Genomic DNA, 24,407 nt, shown 5'->3' on the forward strand with positions numbered 1-24,407 from the left:
TTTCCTAATTGAATACCCTTTATTTCCTTCTCCTGCCTAATTGCCCTGGCCAGAACTTCCAACACTATGTTGAATAGGAGTGGTGAGAGAGGGCATCCCTGTCTTGTGCCAGTTTTCAAAGGGAATGCTTCCAGTTTTTGCCCATTCAGTATGATATTGGCTGTGGGTTTGTCATAGATAGCTCTTATTATTTTGAGATATGTCCCATTAATACCTAATTTATTGAGCGTTTTTAGCATGAAGGGTTGTTGAATTTTGTCAAAGGCCTTTTCTGCATCTATTGAGATAATCATGTGGTTTTTGTCTTTGGCTCTGTTTATATGCTGGATTACATTTATTGATTTGCGTATATTGAACTAGCCTTGCATACCATGGATGAAGCCCACTTGATCATGGTGGATAAGCTTTTTGATGTGCTGCTGGATTCAGTTTGCCAGTATTTTATTGAGGATTTTTGCATCAATGTTCATCAAGGATATTGGTCTAAAATTCTCTTTTTTGGTTGTGTCTCTGCCCAGCTTTGGTATCAGGATGATGCTGGCCTCATAAAATGAGTTAGGGAGGATTCCCTCTTTTTCTATTGATTGGAATAGTTTCAGAAGGAATCGTACCAGTTCCTCCTTGTACCTCTGGTAGAATTCGGCTGTGAATCCATCTGGTCCTGGACTCTTTTTGGTTGGTAAGCTATTGATTATTGCCACAATTTCAGATTCTGTTGTTGGTCTATTCAGAGATTCAACTTCTTCCTGGTTTAGTCTTGGGAGAGTGTATCTGTCAAGGAATTTATCCATTTCTTCTAGATTTTCTAGTTTATTTGCGTAGAGGTGTTTGTAGTATTCTCTGATGGTAGTTTGTATTTCTGTGGGATTGGTGGTGATATCCCCTTTATCATTTTTTATTATGTCTATTTGATTCTTGTCTCTTTTTTTCTTTATTAGTCTTGCTAGCGGTCTATCAGTTTTGTTGATCCTTTCAAAAAACCAGCTCCTGGATTCATTAATTTTTTGAAGGGTTTTTTTGTGTGTCTATTTCCTTCAGTTCTGCTCTGATTTTAGTTATTTCTTGCCTTCTGCTAGCTTTTGAATGTGTTTGCTCTTGCTTTTCTAGTTCTTTTAATTGTGATGTTAGGGTGTCAATTTTGGATCTTTCCTGCTTTCTCTTGTGGGCATTTAGATTTATTAGACCGTAATGCTGCTTAATTTTTAAAGTAACTGATAATCCTTTGTAGCTTGTTCTATGCTTACACTTAGAATGTATTATCACTCGTTCTTGACCTTCAGGTTCAAGATTTCTATTAATAGCTGAAACATACTGCATTTTACACAGTTCTTTAGATGCACATTATTTGATATCTTCAATAGTTTCTTTGCATCTGGCGCCTTGTACCTAAGACTGCCTCACCCTGGGCAGAAACTTTCACTTTAAAAAATCCTACAGTCTCTCCATCTAATCATACAACCTTGAAGTTTCATGAGTCTTAAAATTCTTCTTCAAGTAAATCATATAGATACCCTATACCAAATAATAATTTTCTTAATAGTGAAGATTTTCATTTTGTAATATTCTTCATATCATCTAAGAGTTGATTAACTGAAACATGTAAAATATTAGAGAATATTTTTGACTACCTACTCATGAAAAATAATTATGGCAAAATTAGACACACAAATATCAGCTTAAATATTTTAATACCAGATTTCAAAGAGTAAGAAAGGTAGGCCTTTGTTCAAAAACAGAAATTATGGCATATGTTTATCCCACTGAAAATTAATCTTTATTAATTTACTTTTTTCAATAAGGTAGAGCTACAGACTAAACTTTGTATTTCAGGCTTAAAAAATTACTCTATGAAAGTCTATAATCCTGGTAATGTTAATCTGTAAGAAGAGGAGAAAAATAAATATGCCATTCAGTTATATCCCACTTATGACAACAGAACATAGAGTCAGTATTTAGTGAGTATCATGTAGCAATGAAAGTGTCTGCATAGACGCATAAGGATAAGTGAGGGTTCGCTGTTAGCACAGTTTTTATATAAGTGCTTTTGTCCACATAATAAATATCAATTCTTTTGTAAACACATTTTGTCGTCCAAACCATGAAGACTAAAACATCAGTTCAATAGTTATTATTTTAATTTGAAAGGTACATAACAAGGATATATAGTTTCCACATGCAAGTTCAATTAAACAAAACGTGGATTTTAATACAATAAAATTATGTTATATTACCTTATCTTTGCGCATCAAAAACAGAAGATCTTCAGGAGTGATTACCCTTGCTCCCCGCAGCTGAGAAACTTCAGCAGCTTGCTGTAACTAACAATAATGAAAATTTAGAAATTTTTCTCAGTAACACAAATTATATATAGTACAGTCATGATGTCTCTAAAGAGATAAATATACTAAGAGTTAAAAACCTTTGGGAAATAATCCAGCAATCACATTACTGCTTTTAAGAGTAAAATGTCTTATGTTTTTAAGATATAAAACATGCAATTAAATTAACTTATGAGCCCACCTGTAACCAATACAATAAACAGAAATCTTTTATTTCTTTCTTGCAAAAGAAAAATCATACACAGCTTCCAGAAATGCATTAATGCACCTGAAAATGATTTCATGAAATTTTATCCTTCATACTCATGTGAGCAATGGTTTCACTCAGTATCACTAGTTGAATAAGTATATTATTAATCTGAGCTCCCATGCTGCTCTGATTTGAAATAGGCCCATTCAGAACTTTAAAAGATCAACAAAAACAGTAGCTGTTTCTAATATCCAAAGGAAAAAAAATACGTTTAGTTTTGGCAAGTCTTCAGTGGGTAAAGGATTCAGTCCATAAATCATAATACTGGACTGCATTAATTTCTTTCCATACTAATCACATGCACACAAAAAGTTAACTGTATCTGGAATATACAACACAAAACATTACTGCACTAAAAGTTAGATTCCCCCTGAAATGTTCATCTAGCCCCTTATATCTACAAAGTCAAGATTTTTCAGGAATTCATAAGTCCTAGAAACATAATCTTACTTAAAAATGACATGGAAAATAAAAGAATGTGAAAAATGATAGTTCCGTTTTTTGGCACAGGCAAACTCAATTTCTTATTTTGATTAGTTGGAAGCAACATAAAATACGCCCATCTGAAAAAAATAAAGATGCTACAGAAAACACTATAAAAATGTGTCTGTAACTTCTTCCAAATTTGATCAAATCTTACGGATTGCACCAAACCAAGTCTATCCAATATGAAATACTATAAAAAGTTACATATAAAAGCTGTTCCTGAATGCATCCTTCTTTTAAAAGATAAACCTAACACATTTTCTTGAGAACTAATCTTTAAAATGTGACACACTATTATCTCAACAAATATATGAAATCAAATAGTACATTTGTGCTAAAGAAATTCTGCTTGAATGTTTAATCCTTTTTGCTAAGTAAGCTTCAAACCTTCTCTAAATACACAGACTACAAAATAGACTATAAACTCGCTATGTGTCAGCTTTACCACTGAATTTCCTGGATACTGCGGTTGGTATATAAACACTATCCTATCTAAATATAGAAATTTAAATTTAACTGTGAACCATTTAAAAAGAAATCTTGGTGGGGGGGTAGGTTTTTAAAAAGATGATGTTATCTACTCAGAAACTGTTTTCAGCAGGCATGAACATATTTTTTCTAAAAATTGGTAGAGTGAGGGAAATATATGTGCACATGCTTTTCAAATAAAAATATTTCTATCACAGTCTAAAATACAGGCAATCAGTGTTGAGAAGAATATGGGCTATATATACATTTGTCTGGACACATACACAGTAAATTTATTTTCTTAAATGAAGAATGCTGATCATTTGAAATCTGAAAAACACTATACAGACACATGTAATTTTACTCACATTAAGAAGGATCAGGAGAAATATGTATCCCTAAATAGTTTTCTCAATTAATCAACAGTTTATGCACACTACATATAAATAATCTCTATTCATAACATTCTCCAAAGTATCAGTTTACAAACATATTAGCCAGGATAAGTATGATAATAGAAAATAAAGACACAGAAGAGTTGAACATTTGGAATCACTGTTTTTTTTTTTTTTTTTTATTTTCAGAACCAATACATGACCACTGTAAGGATCTGGAATTTATATCATGGTTATCCTGTCGTATGTAGTAGGAAAAGTTTATCTTTGTTTTTTATTTACCTGTTTTTCTAATTTATCTCAACCAACATAATATCCTTACTAGGACTAGCATTGGTACCACTCCCTTGTCTGCCTTGGACCTCTGCCTAGTTAGTATGTCTCTGGAACTGAAAGTATCACTATGTTACCTTACCAAGGCCTGCCTATCCCGGATGTGTCCCAAACCCCAAAATTACCTCTCCCAAACTCTGACCTCCTCTTCTCTACCAAGTGAAGACAGAAATCTTATTAGCTAATTAAAGTAACTCATACAAAAGTCATCTACTACCCCCATACCAAAATACTCAAGTCCTGCACTTAGCCCTATGGAACCTGTGTATCCAAAAAGTCAGCCCTCCTTATAGAGGAGTTTCACATCTCAGGAATACTATTTTCCATCCATGTTTGGTTGAAAAAAATCTGCATATAAGTGGGACCATGCAGTTCAAGCCCAAGTTGGTCAAGGGTCAACTGTGTTATTATGCATTGGTTTACTTCTCCTGCAAATTTTTGCCTACTACCAGAAAGACTAAAGAAAGTTTTCTTTAACAATACAAACTTCAAAAACAGGTGAGCATTAAAAAGTGGGCAAAGGAGAAGAACAGACACTTTTCCAAAGACGACATAGATGTGGCCAACAAGCATTTGAAAAAAAAAGCTCAGTAACACTGATCATTAAGAGAAATGCAAATCAAAAGCACAATGAGATACCATCTTACAGCAGTCAGAATGGCTATTATTAAAAAGTCAAAAAAAAAAAACAAACCAGATGCTGGCAAGGCTGTGGAGAAAAGGGAACACTTATACACTGTTAATGGGAGTGTAAATTAGTTCAACCATTGTGGAAAGCGGTATGGTGATTCCTCAGAGCTAAAAGCAGAACTACCATTGGACCCAGCAATCCTATTACTGGGTATATACCCCAAGGGGTATAAATCATTCTACCATAAAGACACATGCACACAAATGTTCACTGCAGTACTGTTCACAATAACAAGGACATGGAATCAACTTAAATGCCCATCAATGACAGATTAAAGAAAATGTGGTATATATACACCATGGAATATTATGCAGCCACAAAAAAGAATGAGATCATGTCTTTTGTGGGAACATGGATGGAGTCGGAGGCTAACTAATGCAGAAACAGAAAACCAAATACTGCATGTTCTCACTTATAAGTGGGAGCTAAATGATGAGCACTTATGAACACAAAAAAGGAAACATAGACACTGGGGCCTACTTGAAGGTGGAAGGAGGGAGAGGAGAAGAAAGGATAACTCTTGGGTAGTGGGCTTAATTCCTGGGTGATGAAATAATCTGTATAACAAACCCCAGTGACATGAGTTTACCTATGTAACAAACCTTCACATGTACCCCTGAACCTAAAATAAAAGTTAAAAACAAAACAAAACAAAACAAAAAACAGGTGAGCAACTGGGCAGTCCAATTCCACAGGCATTAAACTTAAAATTGGTGCATTTAATGTGAAAACAATAGTAGAACTGGGAAACCAATATCAAAAATGTTCCTCAAAACTTCAGTGTTAACAGCAGTTCAGTTATAGCATTTCTGTTTTTTTCTGATTAATATTACTTCTATTTGTCAAAGTAAACAAAATATTAACTTGTAACAACTTTGTTAGGAAAAAACTCCCTAAAATATTAAAACTCATGTTTACATTTTAAGTATGTTATAATACTTTATTAGGAGGTTGAGAAGTAAAAGGTACACTATTACATGTCACCTCAAATGCCACATCTTTGACCCTATAAATAAATCTGTTCTCAATTTCACATTGCTATCCATGACATTCATTTTTTTTCTCACTGTATTATATTTTCACCAATTTCTGTTTATTTTGTTGTTTCTTTTAATCTTCTCAGGGGTCTTGAATGTGCTATTTCCACCATATTTGTTCTACTATAATCTCCCTTAAATATAATGTCTGAATTCTTGCTCTAAGATTAATAATTCCCTGTTATCTAAATTCAATGTGGTCTTTAAAGCTCGAATGATTCACATATTTTCCCTGCCTTTCCACTAATTATATTTATTGTTTTTCTCTCATATAATTCTACATTTAGGCTCCAATAATTTTGGTTCTTTTTACCTTTGTGTACTTGTGATGGTTAATTTTGTGTGTCAATTTGACTGGACCGCGGGGTACATAGACATTTGGTCAAGCATTATTCCGGGAGTGACTATGAGGGTGTTTCTGGATGAGATTAACAGTTCAATCAGTAGACTGAGTAGCAGACTGTCCTCCTTAATGTGGGTGGGCCCCATCCAATCAGTTGAAGACATGGATAGAACAGAAAAGGCTGAGTAAGAGGAAACAACTTCTGTCTGAATGCATAACCTGGGACACTGGGCCTTTTCTGGCCTTTGGTCTCAGACTGAAACATCAGGTTTTCTTGTGTTCTGAGGCTGCTGGCTTTCATACTGGAACTAAACATCTACACATTGGCTTTCCTGGGTCTCCAGCTTGCCAAATGAAGATTTTGGGAATCCTTAGACTCCATAATTGCATAATTATAATTTATTATCCTTATAATAATACATAAATCTCTCTCATACACACAGGTGTGCACACTCACACATACTTACTGCCGGTCTCTAATATAGTACTATAGTTAAATTATGAGAAAATCCTGATTCTTTATAAGATGTGGCACTTTTTCTTTAAAATACGAGCTTTAAAATAATTTTCTCAGAAAAATAAGATGTATGATTATTTTCACACAACAGTGTTTCTCATCTAACGTAGATAGAAAACTTAAATGCAGTTCATAATAGCTTAATTGCACTTGTTATCAAGTTTTGTAACACTCCTGCCTCCCAAATTTCTTTTGAATTATACACGTAGGTCCAGAACCATTGACCCTGAACAGGCAATTTATAAATGTTTGTTAAATGTTGGCAATCCATCTTCCCCTCCATGATTTTCAGTTTTTCAATTTAAATGTAACAGAAATGAGTTAAGCTATGTAAAATCGATGGCCTTTTGCATTTGGCTGGGGCCCACATAAATTCAGCACAAAGATTTCTCTAAAGTTCTAAAAGGTTTAAAATGTACAACAGAATTGGCCGGGCGCGGTGGCTCACGCCTGTAATCCCAGCACTTTGGGAGGCCGAGACAGGCGGATCATGAGGTCAGGAGATTGAGACCATCCTGGCTAACATGGTGAAACACAGTCTCTACTAAAAATACAAAAAATGAGCCTGGCGTGGTGGTGGGCGCCTGTAGTCTCAGCTGCTCGGGAGGCTGAGGCAGGAGAATGGCGTGAACCCAAGAGGCGGAGCTTTCAGTGAGCTGAGATAGCGCCACTGCACTCTCGCCTGGATGACAGAGCGAGACTCCGTCTCAAAAAAAAAAAAAAAAAATGTACAACAGAATTAAGTTGATTATTCCACAATTACTAAGCTACTGAAAGTATTTTAATGAGACTTCCATTGCAGCTCTTTCTTTTAGGTTTTGCCTAAGACCTTGGATTTGTCCTTTTTGAAGATAAATGGTAAACGGTAGGAGTTGTGGTGAGCTAGTATCATGAAGAGGCAGAATCCTAGGTAAGGTTATCGCCTGGCTTAAAATTATTTATTTTTCCCTCTATTAGTCTATCTATTATGCACTCATTATCCATCAGGCCAGATTCTAGGTTAGGCTATGAATGGTCAGCTCTGCTTGCAACCATATTTGCTAGCCAGAGATAACCTCAAAGGTCTTCTCTTAAATCCTCCATGATAAGACTGAAAGAACCTGGAGTTAAATTTCCTAAGTTGGAGTTAGGAAACTCCAGTGTAGTTTCATCACTAAGTGATTGCACAACCTTAGATACATCAAATAAGTTCTCTAGATTTGTGGGTTTATGTTTCTCTTTTATTTGAAATGGGTAATCAATGACTTTAATTACTAGTAGAATTATAATCTTAGTGGTAATAATAGTGGCCATATATTGTGTCCCTAATTTGTGCCAGGTGCTGTGCTATGTGTCTTATATTTAACTTTTAAATTTTATATCTAATTTAAAAAATATATAAAACATTAAAAGTCAAATAATACTATAAATTTTATGACAGATAGGAATACCTTGCCACACTTCTTCTGAATCTGTAATTCTGCTTCCAGTGGCAATCACCTTTAACTTTTTAAGCTTGTTTCTATTTTATTTACCAACATATTTGAAATAAGCTTATAATACTTGTTTTATTTTTCAGCTTTAAAAATTATCAGATGACTTATTATGAGAGGTGAAAAAGATTTAGTGTTCTTAGACACCCCAAATTTGACCATCTCTCCTCTTGACTTTACCTATGAAATATAATTTTTGTTTAAATATACAGTGTTTATGTTATACCAAACTATTTTTGAAAAATTTGAAATGTATCAGAATTTATTTCAGTTTTGCTTTTGATGAGACATCTCATCTGGAGCCCTCCAGACTTCCCTTCTACTCTTCTGCTTTGGATCCTTTTTTTTTTTTTTTTTTTTTTGAGACAGGGTCTCACTCTGTCATCCAGGCTGGAGTGCAGTGGTGTGATCACAGCTCACTGCAGCCTCAACCTCCTAGGCACTATAGATCCTTCCACCTCAGCCTCCTGAGTAGCTGGGACTATAGGCGTGCATCATCACATCTGGATAATTTCTGTATTTTTTTGCAGAGACAGGGTTCTGCCACGTTGACCAGGCTGGCTGGGAACTTCTGGGCTCAAGTAATCTGCCCACTTTGGTGTCCCAAAGTGCTGGGATTACAGGCACGTAGGAGCTACCGTGCCCAGACTGGATTGTTGTTTTCTTGACCCCATTTCTGCTCTTTCTCATTTCCTTCCTCATTTACTTCCTCATTTCAGCAAAGCATATTATCTGAAAGTTTCCTTTTTAGTTGATGAGCATAGTTATGATAGCTGCTTTAAAATCCTTGTACATTAATTTTAACATCTGTGTCATCTTGGAATCAGTCTCCATTGACTATTTTTTCTTGGCTTTGGGTCATGTTTTCCTGTTATTTCAGATTTTAAGTAATCTAGTGTTTTATCTGAGATATTGTGACTAACATACCGTAGGAACTCTGGATTTTGTTGTATTCCTTTGAAGATTAAAAAATAGGCACTTAACTAGAACGGATTCAAACTACAACATCTTTTTCTCCCCTGTGGTGGGCTACAGCTGAAATATACTTGATATTACAGTTTTCTGAGAAAGGGTGCAAGGGAAATAAATTTTTAAAAATCTTGTATGTCTCAAAATGTGTTTATGTCATCCTTCTATTCAATTGATAATCTGGCTGAGTATACAGAATTCTAGATTAAAAATAATTTTCCCTCAGAATTTTCAAGGCACTGCTACCTTTTCTTCTAGCTTAAAATGTTGCTGTTGACAAGTCGATTACATTATGATTCCTAAGCCTTTGTGTGACTTTTCCCCTAGTCTGAGAAACTTTTACTATTGTTCTTTTTATACTTCAAGTTCTGAAAATTCGTGATGCTTCTTTGAAGGTCTATCTTGAAATATTTTTCTAAATACTCATAACAATACTTCAACCTGTATGTTCTTGTCCTTTACATTTGAAAAATGTTCTTGGACTATTTTGAAAATTTCTATTGTCTGTTTTTTGTTTTGTTTGTTTTCCTGAAATGTCTATTAAATGAATGCTGGTGGACTTGTGTCTAGGATTTCTAATACTGGAGATCATTTTATTTCACCTTTCCACAAAGTAAAGTTATACTATTTTGCCAGAATGGCACAGGGGTAGCTAATGGCCTACATGGTTTGGATAGGGTACTGGGATAAAATTATGCCTTTTACCAATCTTCCTGTTTTTAGTCTACACAAGACTTCTTTCTTCAGAGGAACCTTCAATCCCAAACTTTTCCATGTTCCAAAGTTTCATTTTCCTCAGGTCTATTAAGCCTGTCTACCCACTTTAAGCTTTCAGATTTTTTTTTTTTTGACAGTTCTCACCTGCTATTTAGTCCTCTCCCATTTTCTACATCTTGTAAGTTTATACACTTAAAATTATTTTGTTATTTAGTGGAGTTTTCAGAGTTTGAAGCATGTGTACTACCCGTATTTAACAGGAAGCTGACACTCGTTTTTTATGCTAACATTTATAGAATTTATTATCCTATGCTTCATGTCTTCTATATATTATCTCATTTAACCTTCACAGCAAACTTATGAGAGATGTCCAAACACACAAAACTATTACTAAGTAATACATGTTTAACATTAAGCCATTCATGTTTCTCTCCTAGATTTCTTATTCAGAATAGAGGAAGATGCGTTCACTAAATCAAGCCTTACATTGCATAGAAAAGTCTAACCATAAAAATGTTTATTTGCCTTTCAAAACATTTTCTTTCTTGGTGAATAAACAGTTGCCAAAAAAAAAAAAAAAAAAAAAAAAAGAAAGAAAGATAAAAGGTTTGGATCAAAACATCCAAGCCAGTGGCTCCATGCAGACCCAGCCTAAGGATTGTGAGCTAAGTAAGTATTTGAAAGGAAATGTATTTGTAACTAAAGTTAACATTCAGAATACTCTACATTTAAGGTATTTGACGTAGTATTTTCCTACCATATAATCGTATTATTCTTTTTTGATGATTGGTATTGTTTTCTTAGACATTTGAAACATAAATGAGTATATAAATTGATAAAAGATGTGCCTAACTTTTTAGAGTTTCATTTTAACTGTTCTTTTTAGAATAGTAAGTCAAGCACAGTTAAGTCAGGTTTTAAAAAATATATAAGGCTATAATTACCAGGATCTCATGGCTCAAAAAATTCATTCATATATACTATGTGTGTATATATGACATATTTGTATGTGTATATATATATATATATACATATTCTTTAAAATATGTGTGTGTACATATATTGCATGTGTATATATATATAATTACTCAGTTACAATCAATGTGACCTCTAAAGCTTAAAAAATATCCAATAAACAATAACTATATATTTACTGTATGAAGATAGCAGCCTTAACATGGAACTAATTCTGTGGTTACTCTGTGATTTAAATGTGAAATTAGGAGAACAAGAAGCAATAATCATTTGAACATTTTCTTTTAACCTGTTTTGCACACAAGCTATTCATAAGCAACTTTCAACTCTAAATATATCTAAGTTTTGAATGTAAGCAAAGGCACATTTTAGAAATTTTTAAAAGTTGAAATTAAATAAAGTCATAGTTTAAATAACATAGTATTTTAGTATTAATTAACTGTAATTGATAACTGTTTTAAAATTTTTCTTTTTAAGAGACAGGGTCTTGCTCTGTCACCCAGGCTGGAGTGCTGTGGCACTACCTTGGCTCACTGCAGCCTCAAACTCCTGGGCTCAAATGATCCTCCCACCTCAGCCTCCTGAAGAGCTGGGACTACAGGCACATGCCATCATGCCTAGCTAATTTTTGTATTCTTTTTGTAGAGACAGGATCTCACTTTATTGTAGGCTGTTTTCGAACTCCTTGGCTCAAGTGATACTCCTGCCTTGGCCTCCCAGAGTGCTGGGATTACAGGTGTGAGCTATCACACACAGCCTCTTTAAAATTTAACTATTTAGTATTTAACTATTGAAATGAAAATACAATTTGACTATTTACTGAATCTAAAATACAATTAAAATTGCAGAACGACAGAAGCGTACCTTGAATTTGTTCAACATAATATATAGTTATCCTTTGGTAACTCAGTAACTGGAAATTGATGTATTTTTGAAGTCTAAGAAAAGGTTACATTTGCATTTCTTAAAATTCAGAACCATAAGATATTTTGGTTGCCTATATAATATGTGCTTTACTTGACTACATTAATAATGCCTCTTCTTTCTCAGCTTACTTCTTGGCATGTCCACACCCCTTTCCATATTCCCTTCTGTTCACATTTGTAAACAGGCATCTACTGAACGGGTTGTAGCCCTTACTTGTTTCTTCAAAGGACAAAAATATAACATGTAAGAGACTGAATTTCTTAGTTTTTTTCAGAACTCTTCCTCATTTGTTTTTACAAGATAGCCTGATTTCATTTCACCCTAGAATGTTCAGGAATAAACACAGGTCTTGTGCTAAGTCTTCATGGCTGGATCAGGGTACTAAAAGCACTGAATTACACCAGACCACACACAGGCCAATGTAATGATTAGAAAAGTTACCAAATGGAAAGAATAAAGTCCTGCTTTAGAATAATTATGGGGAGTAAGGAAAGTTGATATCTAATTTTATCTCTATTACTAATTACCCTTGTTTTGGCAAAAGCAACTTTATAATTTTGTCTTTTTGTTGAGAAAATATATAGAGAAAGTGCCAATTTTAGATTTGCAGCTTCTGATGCTGGATCTAAGAACCTGATCCATGCAGAGGGCAAGGATCTGCTATGAAACTCGGTTAAAATGTGGCCTCCTCTGTTAGTGTGGTACATCCCGAAGAGTGTTCCAGAATCTTTAGATTATTACCTCCAAGTTATAGTCGAATACAGTAGTCGAAGCTTTAAAAATCATTACTTAGAAAATGTTTCCCAAACCATCTTGACTTTCTTTGTCTCATAACATTTTTTAAATGCCTATGATTTCATGTTTTAGTGAGGTAACATCATGCAGCATATAGCTAGCCTGACGTAAATGTTATTGACATTTATTTAGAAAAGATAAATTAAATTGTGAAGAACTCATAAAAAAGTTTATAACTTTTAGTACTCACAAAGATTAAAGGTTATTATCAAATTATTATTAAGTATTAATGACATTTTCCCATTAAAAAATTTAGGATGTAAATAATTTGTGGATAAATGTATTTGTATATATGTGTGATATTTTTATCCTTAATTATAATACATATTTGTGTGTGCATACATAGATACATACCAAACATGTCTGTACATCACTAGAATCACTTTCTTGTAAAATGTAAGCTAACTTTCATCCAAACTTCAAGGGAAAAATAATGTGGGCTTTTTTGATAGAGAACGAATTGTTTCTCTAATAATTTCTCATGTAAAATTACCTCAAAATGAAATACAATGCACACATTAGTTTTGTTGTTACGGTTTTTAACAGAATAGCTGATCTTTTTGGTCCTCAGGTTCTTCAAGTGAGAACTAAAGAGAGGTGAATATCAAATAAGCTCCAAAGATCCTTTTGGCTTTTCTGATTCTAGTGTTTAACCCTGGGTATAGTTTTGGTTCCATAATTAAGCACTTACATCAATAAGAGAAAAAATAAAGAGGAACCATAAGAAAGAATGGCGCAACTTGGTAAGGTGCAGATGGGAGTCAATGCTCTAAGGGAAACTCACTTAGTCATACCAGTGGAAATAGCAACCAGCTCAACTAGCTGCAAGTGCATGAAAGGAAGTATGGGGTTGGGTTCTTATTTAGCAGTAATGACTTATCTTACCATGTTTACCATGGTACACAAATCAGCAGGTGATATAATTACTTTAGTATTCTATTCAATAGTTCCAGGTGTATTTGAAAGCCAAAGACAGTTGCAAAATGGGATTATAGCAATGCAATTGCTAATTAATATGTAAAAGACATTGGTCTCTATCCATTTCTCATCTGCCCTATGCTTTCATCATATGATGAACAGAGATAATTTGTATATACTTCTCCCTCAGTTTGTCAGAGAAAGTAGCCCTTATTCAAATTCTGTATCCAAAGATTGCTTGCATAGGAAAACCAATACATGTTGTATACAGTATTTATCAAATTAGATGCAGTATATGTAAAATGAAATGAAAAGTCGGGTTTCCCTAAGCTCAGATGTCAGTTCCATATTTCACTATCAGGTTATTAAAAAGGGCTCAGGAAGGTGACAAAGTACAGATTTTATTACACTTACAGATCATTGTAAAGATTAAATGAAATAATGTAGTAAAGACAAATAGAGAACTATAAAACACTATACCTGCATAAGTATTGCTTAGGGATGGCTCATTTTTGGCTAGGGAGAAGTTAAGACAGCAATGTATATAGAAAAGGAAAAGAGATTCCACTAATAACTTGGTAGGCTGAGAAAATGTTTAGCTCTGGTCACTAAAACCAAAATCAGGATATTCCTGGGAGATTCATTCACATCAGGATAAAATGGTACAATTACGCAACACTCATACAGTTACATTCTAAGGAAGCAAACAGCGTAGAGAAGATGGAACCTCATAACCTTCATAAATAAAAGTGAGACATCACTGTCTCTTTGAGGTCTTCTCTAACACAAGCATAGACCTAAGCACTCCCTTTCCATTGTACTGCCCAGGTCCTCATAGAACTTCAGCCAACTTACCACTCAGCACTCTTCTCTACAAAGCTCTCTTTATAAGAAGGCGGCTTCCTTTCTACTAGGATGCAAACTCTCCATTAATGTGTGTTAGAATGAGCTAAAACAGTATTTAAGCAATTCAGTAAAAGCCTCTGAAGACTCTGAGTTGTAGGCAGATGTAGGGGAACAGGCACAGGAAGTAGAGTAGGAAGACTGAGCGCTGCTGGCTCCTACTGTGTGCTCTGTGAGAATGTGATCAATAACTAAATATAGAGAAGATTGTACTAACTCACCAAAACAAAAAAGCAAATATAAGAGTAATACCAGTTTCCTTGCAGATATGTTAAGAAGAACAAGTAAGGGGAAAAAAACAGAGAAAAGATAATGTCTGAAATATAGTAACAGCCCAACATATATTAACCTTTTATTTCTATCTTGTGATTCTTAGGGCAGTAATATCACAAAAGAGAAGTCTCAGAAGGATAAATCTTCAAACTACAGTATTGTGGTTGAACCTAAAATAAAATAAGCAAGCATGGAGATTTAAAAAATCTATTATTTTTAGTTAAACACTGGTAGCCTCTTTGTTCCTTCAATATATACTTATTGAGCACCTAGTATAGGCCAGTCATGGGGCTGAGAAAGGAAATTATGCTAACCAGAAGCAAACCAAAGCAAGTACACAAACAACAAAACCAAGAAGAAAACAAATGAAAACATGGTCCTTCACCTCACAGGGCTTACAGACTGATTACTTTTAGATGTACAATAAATATTGTACAGATATTATGACTATCACTATGAAAAGTTTATTCTAAAATAATTTCAATGAGTTTATGCTAGAAATCAGACAACTGCAAGATAGGTATCATAACTTATATACTATATTGAGGAGTGTGTAAAGTTAACATCTTTCTAAAGTTGCACAAGGAAGCCAGACTATATTAAGGTTATGGATTTTAAGTGTCTCAAAGAGACTGCCACAGATTATCTAAAATATCTAAAGAAAATATTCCTACCCATCTTGAGTTAGTGTTCAGTTAGATACTAGCCATGATGAATTTTAAGCCTGAAGGCAAATCAGATTATGCCTCCAAGTCTCTAATCAGAATTTGGAAAAAGTTCAATTTTGAGAATTTAACTGGCTGAATCTCAGCTAATATATGTGTGTCTGAGGCATCTTTGGGGATGACCCCAATGGAAGTATTAATATTGATTTGAATATATGTATATTAGTCAGGGGCTTGGAGGGAAACAGCATAGTTAAACTGTGTAACTGAAGAAGAGCTTAATACAGGAACTGTTTATAAAAATGTGGGGAAGGCTTTAGGGAAATGACCAGGGAGATTGTGGTGCCTCCTCACCATCCTACCTCCTCCTCCTCCAACAGCAGCATGAAACCATTACTAAACCTAGGCCTAGAGGATTAAGGGGGAATTAGCTGTTACCTGAAGCTGGAGGCTAGAGAAGCCCACCTGATAGGGATACAACCAACCCTGTACATTCATCCCACTCTCAGAGCTCCCCAGTCCCCTCCCACAGGCCAAAATCAACCAGAAGTCAGAGGGCAAGAGAGATCCAAAGAGACTAGCCTCCTGGAACACAGAAAAGAACAAAGGGTGAAAAAAGGATCTAGAGAGAGAAAGAGAAGACATTTAGTGTCATATAAGTCTTTAGAATTATCAAGAACAGCCTCACCAGGGCCATTTTCCACTTAAAACACTTAAAGCAGAATGTTTTTAGTCCTCTTTAAAAGTAGTTCTGTTCAGACTATTTAAAAACATAAATGGTGGGAGGTGTCCAGCACCAGATAAACACTATGGTCCAATGATGAAAATTGTAATTCCAGATTCAGAGACTTAATTTAAGAAAGGACAACACCAATAATAACAGTAACAAGAACATAAATTAGCATTTGTTGAATACAACATGAAATTTCTGACACTTTACATTATTTTTACAAAACTGTTAGTTCTACTAACCCTTGTAAAAACCTTGTTAGGTGATGTCAGTGTTTTATTATTTTTAATAGATATTTTACAGATAAGAAATCTGTAGTTGAGAACAGCTAAGTGACAAAAATGGGATTTGAACAAATCTATCAGACAATAACTCCTGTCTCCACCGTAGTCCACAGCTAGTAGACAACTTTTCCCATTTTCCTTAGGACACTAATATTTAATAGTTTGCTCATGGAAGCTAATATTTAAATATGTAAAATTCAGTAATTTGACCAATCAACATCCAGCATGCTAGAGGACTTACACAGAATTAGTTTAATATAGTTTCTATGGAGTATTTAAAGTCTCTGATAAATTTCTGTTAAGTATTTCTATGTAAACATGTTTTGTTTTTGGTGTAGGGTAAGAATTTTTCATATGGTTTATAACAGATGTACTCTTAAAATGCATTACTAAGACTTTCATTAAATTCAAAGTTTTCAGTTGATGGATTAGACCTGACACTGTTATGTGACTTTGTGCTAGGTAACTGATGTCTCTTACCTTCAATCTCCCAATTTTTAATATGGATGTAATGATACCTGCACTTCAGGAGTGTGTATGGACCATATTAAGCTATGTATACAAAGTGTCTGGTACTGTTTATTATCAGACTCTCAAGAAATATTCATTTGTATCCTCACTGTTTTATGTCCAAAAGGTTGTATGGAGAGGTAATCTGAAAAGTACTAGCACTCTGACTCCTTACTAGGTAAGGATGGAGGTGGAGCTTAGTTGCGAATTGTTACCAACTCAACTGGATGCCAATGCCATTCATGTACAGACTCTGATTACTTCCCTACCTCCATCAATATTTATATCATGTATTTTAAAAATGTGTTTAGTTAATGTATTGCCACAGTCGTAGGTATGAATTAGAAGGGAAAAATTATCCAAAACCGTATTTATTTTAGTGACACTGTGACCTGATAAAGGTAAATAGTTATTACAGATTGTGAAGTAACTGTGGGTAGAAAACTCACTTTCCGTTTTAATTTGCTTCTCTTAAAACACTTGAGTCTAGTATATTAGTAATTAACTAAGACAAAAAATGAAAAATAAAAAAGGTAAGTTAGAGGATTAATACAGTTCCAATATCCCAAAATGGATGTTCTGGAAGAGAAAGAAAAAAAAAAGAGGTGAAAAAACTATTGAAGAATCAATTCAAGAAAATTTCCCAGAAATGAAAAAATCGGATTTTTCAAACTGAATCTACTATTATAATTCCTAGGCACAATGGATGAAAAGAGACCATACCAAGTCACATTCACTATTCATATTGAAAATCCAACAGAATTCTCAATGGTAGGGACACAGCATTGAATAAAAACAGATAACGCCCATGTTGTCATGAAGCTTATCGTTTAGTGGTCAGGAGGACAAATAATAAACAACTTGCAATGTCATAATAACTGCTATGCCAAATAAGAAGAGTAGGAAGGATCAGGTGAGGGGAGTTTGTGGATTACTTTATACAGGGTAATCAGGGCAGTACTCACGAACACCCCATGCAAAGGGAATAGGAAGTGCAAAGGTTCTGAGGCAAGACTTTGCTTGAACATGTTGGAGGAAAGGGAAGGAGCTAACACAGCTACAGTATACTAAGAATAAGGAGAGTGGCTGGGGATGAGATCAGAAAAGTAGCCAAGGTGGGGTGGGGGACATGTCATGTAAAAGATTCTAGACATATCATTGTGAAATTTCAAAATTCTGATGAACAGTAATACTAAAAACAGGGATAAGAAAAAATGAGGTCACAGGTAAAGCTTAAAAAGTTACATTGCCATTTCATTCTAACTGTTTAAGTTATAATAATTCTAAACACCAGAAAATAATGAAAAAATGCCTTCATAATCTGAGGAAAAATAATTTCAAACCTAAAAGTTTTCACACACAGCCAAACTGTCAACAACCTGTGAAGGTAGATTAAGGTAGTTTAAGACATGCAAAATATATAAAAATTCACCACTCATGGACTCTTTCTCAGGAAGTAGAGGATGTGTTCCAGCAAAATAAGGTAATAAATCCAAGTAAGAAGATGACTTTTCATTGGTTTATGCCTAAGAAGTAAGATAGGACATAGGGGGTCCCAAACAGAATAGAGGAAGTCCCCAAGATGTAAGGGTAGATCCCAGGATGGATGTGCAGGAAGCTTAAAGAGCAACTTCCAAAGCAAGCAGACAGAAGAATCTAGGAGAGGTATTCCCCAAAAAGATGATATTGTGGGAAATACTTATTTTATTTATATTGACAAGAGAGTCGCACTCAGAGCTGGATATGAATTACTGGTACATAGAAAACTAAACAAAGGAATAAGATAATTATTGTGAGGAAAATAAAACAAAATTATAAGAAAATGCAAATATAGTACCATACACAATTCAGCTATGAATTCAGGTGATTTCAGAGCCAAAACGATGACCAATAAATTAACTGAAAATTATGATATAATTGTATTAGAAAGCTTTGGTAGGAGTGGCTGCAGTGGAAGGGGGTAAGAAATGGAGGGAGAAAAGAAAAGATGCAGAAAAAAAAAGAAAAGAAGAGACTATGAAAGTAGATGAACATAATGATAAGATAGAAATATATGGCAGGGCGCAGTGGCTCATGTCTGTAATCCCAGCACTTTGGGAGGCTGAGGCGGGGGGATCACAAGGTCAGGAGTTAGAGACCAGCCTGGCCGATATGGTGAAACCCTGTCTCTACTAAAAATACAAAAAAAAAAAGAAAAAAAAAGTTAGCCAGGTGTTGTGATGCATTCCTGTAATCCCAGCTACTCGGGAGGCTGAGGCAGGAGAACTGTTTGAACCCGGGAAGTGGAGGTTGCAATGAGCTGAGATCATGCCACTGCACTCCAGCCTGGATGACAGAGCGAGACTCCATATTAAAAATTAAATAATTAATTAATTAAATAAAAAAATGAAAGAAATATATGAGAATTTAAGATAAAATAAAAGGGGTAGTTTATTTCAGTAGGAAAACAGAATTAATTAACCAGCCTGGGCAACAAGAGCGAAACTCAGTCTCAAAAAAAAAAAAATACTAAGGAGTAGTTATATCTAGATAACAAAATCATATGTGATTTTTATTTTCTATAACTTTCTGTATTTTTCAAATTCTCTACAATTAACTTTTCTTACTTTTACACTAATACAGTTATACAATTAATGCTTTTAAACTATCTCTTCAAGTTTAAAGGATAGGTTTAATCATGTAAATATTTTGTCACTGAGGAAATTTTAACTGGGGCTCATAGACTTTCTGAAATTATACGTAAAATGTTGTATTAGATGGGAAGGAATCCACAGTCTTGTTAGAGTCTTGACGACATCCATGACAAATCAATGAAAGATAAAATTAAAAAGAATAAAAACACCCTAAAAATATCCAGTTCATTTATAAAAACTACTCAAGTTTTACTTATGCTATGAATAGTCTCAAATTTATCTCCCTGGGCCCAAAGAGAAACTGCTAGCTGGCTTGTTCAGAGGGTACTCAAATTAATTCATCAAGGTCCTCCAAAAATCAAAGTACTTTCTTCTTTAGATAGGTTTTACTAGCATTAAAACACATATGACAAGTTGTAAAATCAAAATGGATGAAAAGAGCTGTGTGTCTAACACCCACCAACAGCTCACAATGCCTAATGATTAGAGTAGCTATTCATATTGAGAGCTATTCATGTTTTTTGTTTTTACATCATTTGTCATAATAATCAGAAATGAATGATTTCCACTTCATCGTACCTAGAAACATTGAATAATATTGGTTAGTAAGTGACTGAGTCCACTTTTGGCTTTAAAACATGTACAAATAGCTATCTCATTATATGTAAACAGGAAAGACTCCTCTGGTTGTTATACTGTTTGAAGTATTAGGACTTCTTTAATTCTGTAATTTTTTTTAATAACATTAGGAGAAAACTATTTTTCAATATAAACAAGGCAAGTGAATACAGCACATAAAATACACATACACAATTTGAAGGAAATGATTTTGACAAAGTTTAAAGGTGTATTATACCTTGGTATAAAAACTAAAACTTGATAAGGACTAATTTGGCAATTCATTAAATTATACTTTACTGGGTGTATATATTGCATGGCACTGATTTTTAAATAACTGAATAGTTATTAAAATCTTGGTATTATTTCAAAGTAGCATGTAACTAGATTTAATCATCAGATATTTCCAGGGAAAAATTATGTTTCTGTTCTTTAAGGTGTATTTTTAAATTAACATTCATTTCTCAAGGACATTGATTTGAAAGAGCTATTTCACTTCCCGTTAGTGCAAGGAAAAAGGATACCATTTAAACTTTGGAAGGGCACAGAAAAAAAATAAACAAATCTGCTGAACATAATTTCCTCTTTATTGCTTTTGAAAAGTTATGAAATCAAATCTATTATTTAATTACATTGGATCAAGAAACAGGAAGAAAAAGACGCATTTAAGTCACAACACTCCTAAAAGAATAAATTACTATACTTCCTTTGGGAAGAAAAGTGTTTTAATATGTGGATGGGTATTGTCCAAACATTTCAAATCTACTTTGCTGAGGTGGTACGTGTGATAGGCTTTAAACAAAAAATCAAAACAAAATAGCAAAATGTCAAAATTGAAGGAATTAAAAAAACTGCTAGGATTGATTTCAGTATTTCTGTACTATTAAAGAATTTAATTTTTGCTCTCAAATCTGTTTCCATCACCTAACTTTAAAAAAATACAACTCCTGGGCCGGGCATGTAATCCAGCAATTTGAGAGGCTAAGGCTGGTGGATCACTCGAGGTCAAGAGTTCGAGACCAGCCAGGCCAACACGGTGAAACCCTGTCTCTACTAAAAATACAAAATTTAGCTGGGCGTGGTGTTGGGCTCCTGTATTCCCAGCTACTTGGGAGGCTAAGGCAGGATAATCGCTTGAACCTGGGAGGTGGAGGTTCCACTGCAGTGAGCCGAGATTGCACCACTGCACTCCAGCCTAGGCAACTAAGAGAGACTATGTCTCAAAAAAAGAAAAAAACAAAAACAAAAAACAAACAAAAAAAACCCTCTGACCTAATCACAGCAAAAAAAAAAAATTTTGCTAGATAAATAGGGTTTATCTTTGCTATGCTTGAATAAAATGCACAAGATGTTCCAGATTAGGACAACTGTTATACAAATAAGAATAAAGGCTTTCAGCTTTTTAAACTGGCAACAGGATTTTGCAGTTGGTCAGACTCTGTCAGGGGACTTATGGGATGAACAGTGATCACACAGTCACTGCCCTTATACCATCTGCAGCAGGGTTTGACAAACTTTTAATATAAAGGACCAAATAATAAATATCATCAGCTTTTTAGGCCATATGCTGTTTCATCTATTCAACCCCAAGGTTGTGGCATGAAATCAACCATAAACAATACATAAGTGAATGAGCATGGCTGTGTTCTGACAAAACTCTATTTACGAAAATAAGCAAAGGATGCCGTATTTGGCCCATGGGGCTGTAGTTTGCTGACCCCTGGTCTACTGTAGTGTGGGGAAAATATGAAAATTATATAGTGGGAGGAAAAATGCTATACTATAATGTAAAACAAAAACGAGCAGTACTGAACATGAACTTAGACTTTATTGCAATCTACATTCGTACATGCAGATTAAGAATAGTCACAATAAGAAATAGTTGTTTGAAAGTTTTGACACAACTGTATGAAGTATTGTTAAGACAGCATTCGGAAATGTTGACAGTTAATTGCAAATTATATACTTGCAAAGTCCTGTTTTCTCCTAATGCTTTCACCATTACCAACACAGAGTGGCTTTTCAAAAACAAAAACAAACAAAAAAGCTTTTCAAAGAGAAATTCATACTCTTGAACAACACATTAAATATTCTGTTTTTACTGTTCTTATTTGCTCTCAAATAATAATACTAATTACCAATAATCCTGTTGAATAACAGAGAAGCCCCACAACTTTAACATGTGTAATTAATTAAATATATTGAGGTTGATACGGAAATTCAGACAACAAACCCACAATATGTCACAAGTTTTTAACTTGTTAGTTTTAAACTGAATATTCTGTTTCCTTCTCTTGAGAGATTTGTCCCTCCCTTATATGTGAGGCCAAGTAATTGGACCCCAAGCTCTCAATGAGCAATTTATTTTTTCCATTTCAAAATCTTAGCAAACAAATCTCACCAGAGAACTGGTGGCTACTTTCTATCTTGTCCTAGAGAAGCAAGACTAAAGTGAGCTTTAGTTTTCAATTCGTTTTCATTCATTTACTTAACCATACTTACTGAGTGCCCACTACACACTAAACACTGTGCTAGGAGCTAGGGTGCCATCGTGATAAAAACAGCAATATCCCTAGCTTCAAGGGGCTTCCATTACGTTAGGGAATAAATAAATAAATAAATGAAATATTTACAAGTCATAATAAGTAAAATAAAAAACTCAGTTCACTGAAACTGCACTTAAAGGCAGGGGAGACACCTACATTAGACAATGATGTCAAGGAATGCCTTTCTAAGTGGGTGACCTTTTAGCTGAGACTTAAAATCCAACGGATTAAAGGGCTCTGGTTATTCAAAGGGCATTCACTGGAGAGAGAGTGGTGGTGAGTAGCTACCAGGTACAGGGAAGAACATGTCCAAAGACTTCTGGACAGCAAATAACTTGGTCTATATGAGAAACTGAGAGATGACAATGGTGAAAGAGAAATAAGAATGAACAAGTGAGGACACAGAAAAAGGCAGTTGCCAACTGATGCAGGGCAGTGTTGGCTATTTGTTTATAAACCTTCAAAATTAATGAATAATAAATGCCAAATTTTCCAAATCAGAAAAATTGCTTTTGAAACAGAAATTTCCAGGAGCAGCTGAAAATGCAAAGAAAAAACATGCCATTTTTCTTACCTTCCACCTTCTTTTTCTTCTTTAACATCTAAACATTTCTTCCTCACTAGTCAGTAGTCCTAGGTACAGGTAAAATTAAGTGTCTCCTACCAATAGGATATTGTAAAGATATCTGTATATTCTCAGGACTCAGTAATTTTTCTGGGTTCCAATGTCCTCATTTCAAATATTGGATAATGGCTACTCCTTCTTAGGGTTATGAGATGATTATGGGCTTATCCTACAAAGTATAAAGATACCATGGTACGCAGGCCTCCATCAAGGGTAAAACAAAGTGAAGCATAAGTGTGCAGCACGTCTTCCAGAAGTGTCAACTATATTAGAGACAGTAAATAAAGTATCATTTTTATGTTAAAAAATACAGATACAGTATGGCATAGAATAAAAAACTTGAATTTAATATTATGAAAGAAAGCTTTTTAAAAAACATCAAACTTGTTTAAAAATCCATTCAGTCTGGCTGGGCGTGGTGGCTCACACCTATAATCCCAGCACTTTGGGAGGCCGAGGCAGGCTGATCATCTGAGGTCAGGAATTTGAGACCAGCCTGGCCAACATGGTGAAATCCTGTCTCTACTAAAAATAAAAAAATTAGCTGGGCATTTTGGCAGGCACCTGTAATCCCAGCTACTTGGGAGGCTGAGGCAGGAGAATTGCTTGAGCCTGAGAGGCAGAGGTCGCAGTGAGCCGACATCATGGCATTGCACTCCAGCCTGAGGCACAAGAGGGAGACTTCGTCTCAAAACAAAATCCATTCAGTCTAATCCCTCCTTATAGTGGTAAATGCATACCTAGAACATGATATGGTTGCTTACTATATGTCTGGAATAGGGCAGATACTCATATTTGGTATCATAAGGGAAAATTAGTTGTTGTTTTTTTTAATTATACTTTAAGTTTTAGGGTACATGTGCACAACGTGCTGGAGAGGATGTGGAGAAATAGGAACACTTTTACACTGTTGGTGGAACTGTAAACTAGTTAACCATTGTGGAAGTCAGTGTGGCGATTCCTCAGGGATCTAGAACTAGAAATACCA

At 34.6% G+C, this 24,407-nt stretch overlaps 1 protein-coding gene across 29 annotated transcripts in view; it reads right to left on the minus strand.

Annotated features, from left to right (window-relative positions):
• The window catches only part of SUPT3H (SPT3 homolog, SAGA and STAGA complex component), a 568,878-nt gene that overhangs the window by 209,258 nt on the left and 335,213 nt on the right, over nt 1-24,407 (minus strand). For 27 of the 29 annotated variants that reach the window (NR_146632.2, NR_146633.1, NR_146635.2 and 24 more), the window contains one exon: nt 2,232-2,318. Coding sequence is in view for 17 of the 29 variants with exons in the window: in NM_003599.4 (NP_003590.1) it covers nt 2,232-2,318 (87 nt within the window). In the remaining 12 variants the exon portion in view is untranslated. The remainder of the gene's footprint in view (nt 1-2,231; nt 2,319-24,407) is intronic. The other 2 variants (NR_146634.2, NM_001350325.2) reach the window with 1 other exon arrangement.

Source organism: Homo sapiens, chromosome 6 (genome assembly GCF_000001405.40).
Source record: "Homo sapiens chromosome 6, GRCh38.p14 Primary Assembly".
In the NCBI taxonomy this organism is placed as follows: Eukaryota; Metazoa; Chordata; class Mammalia; order Primates; family Hominidae; genus Homo; species Homo sapiens.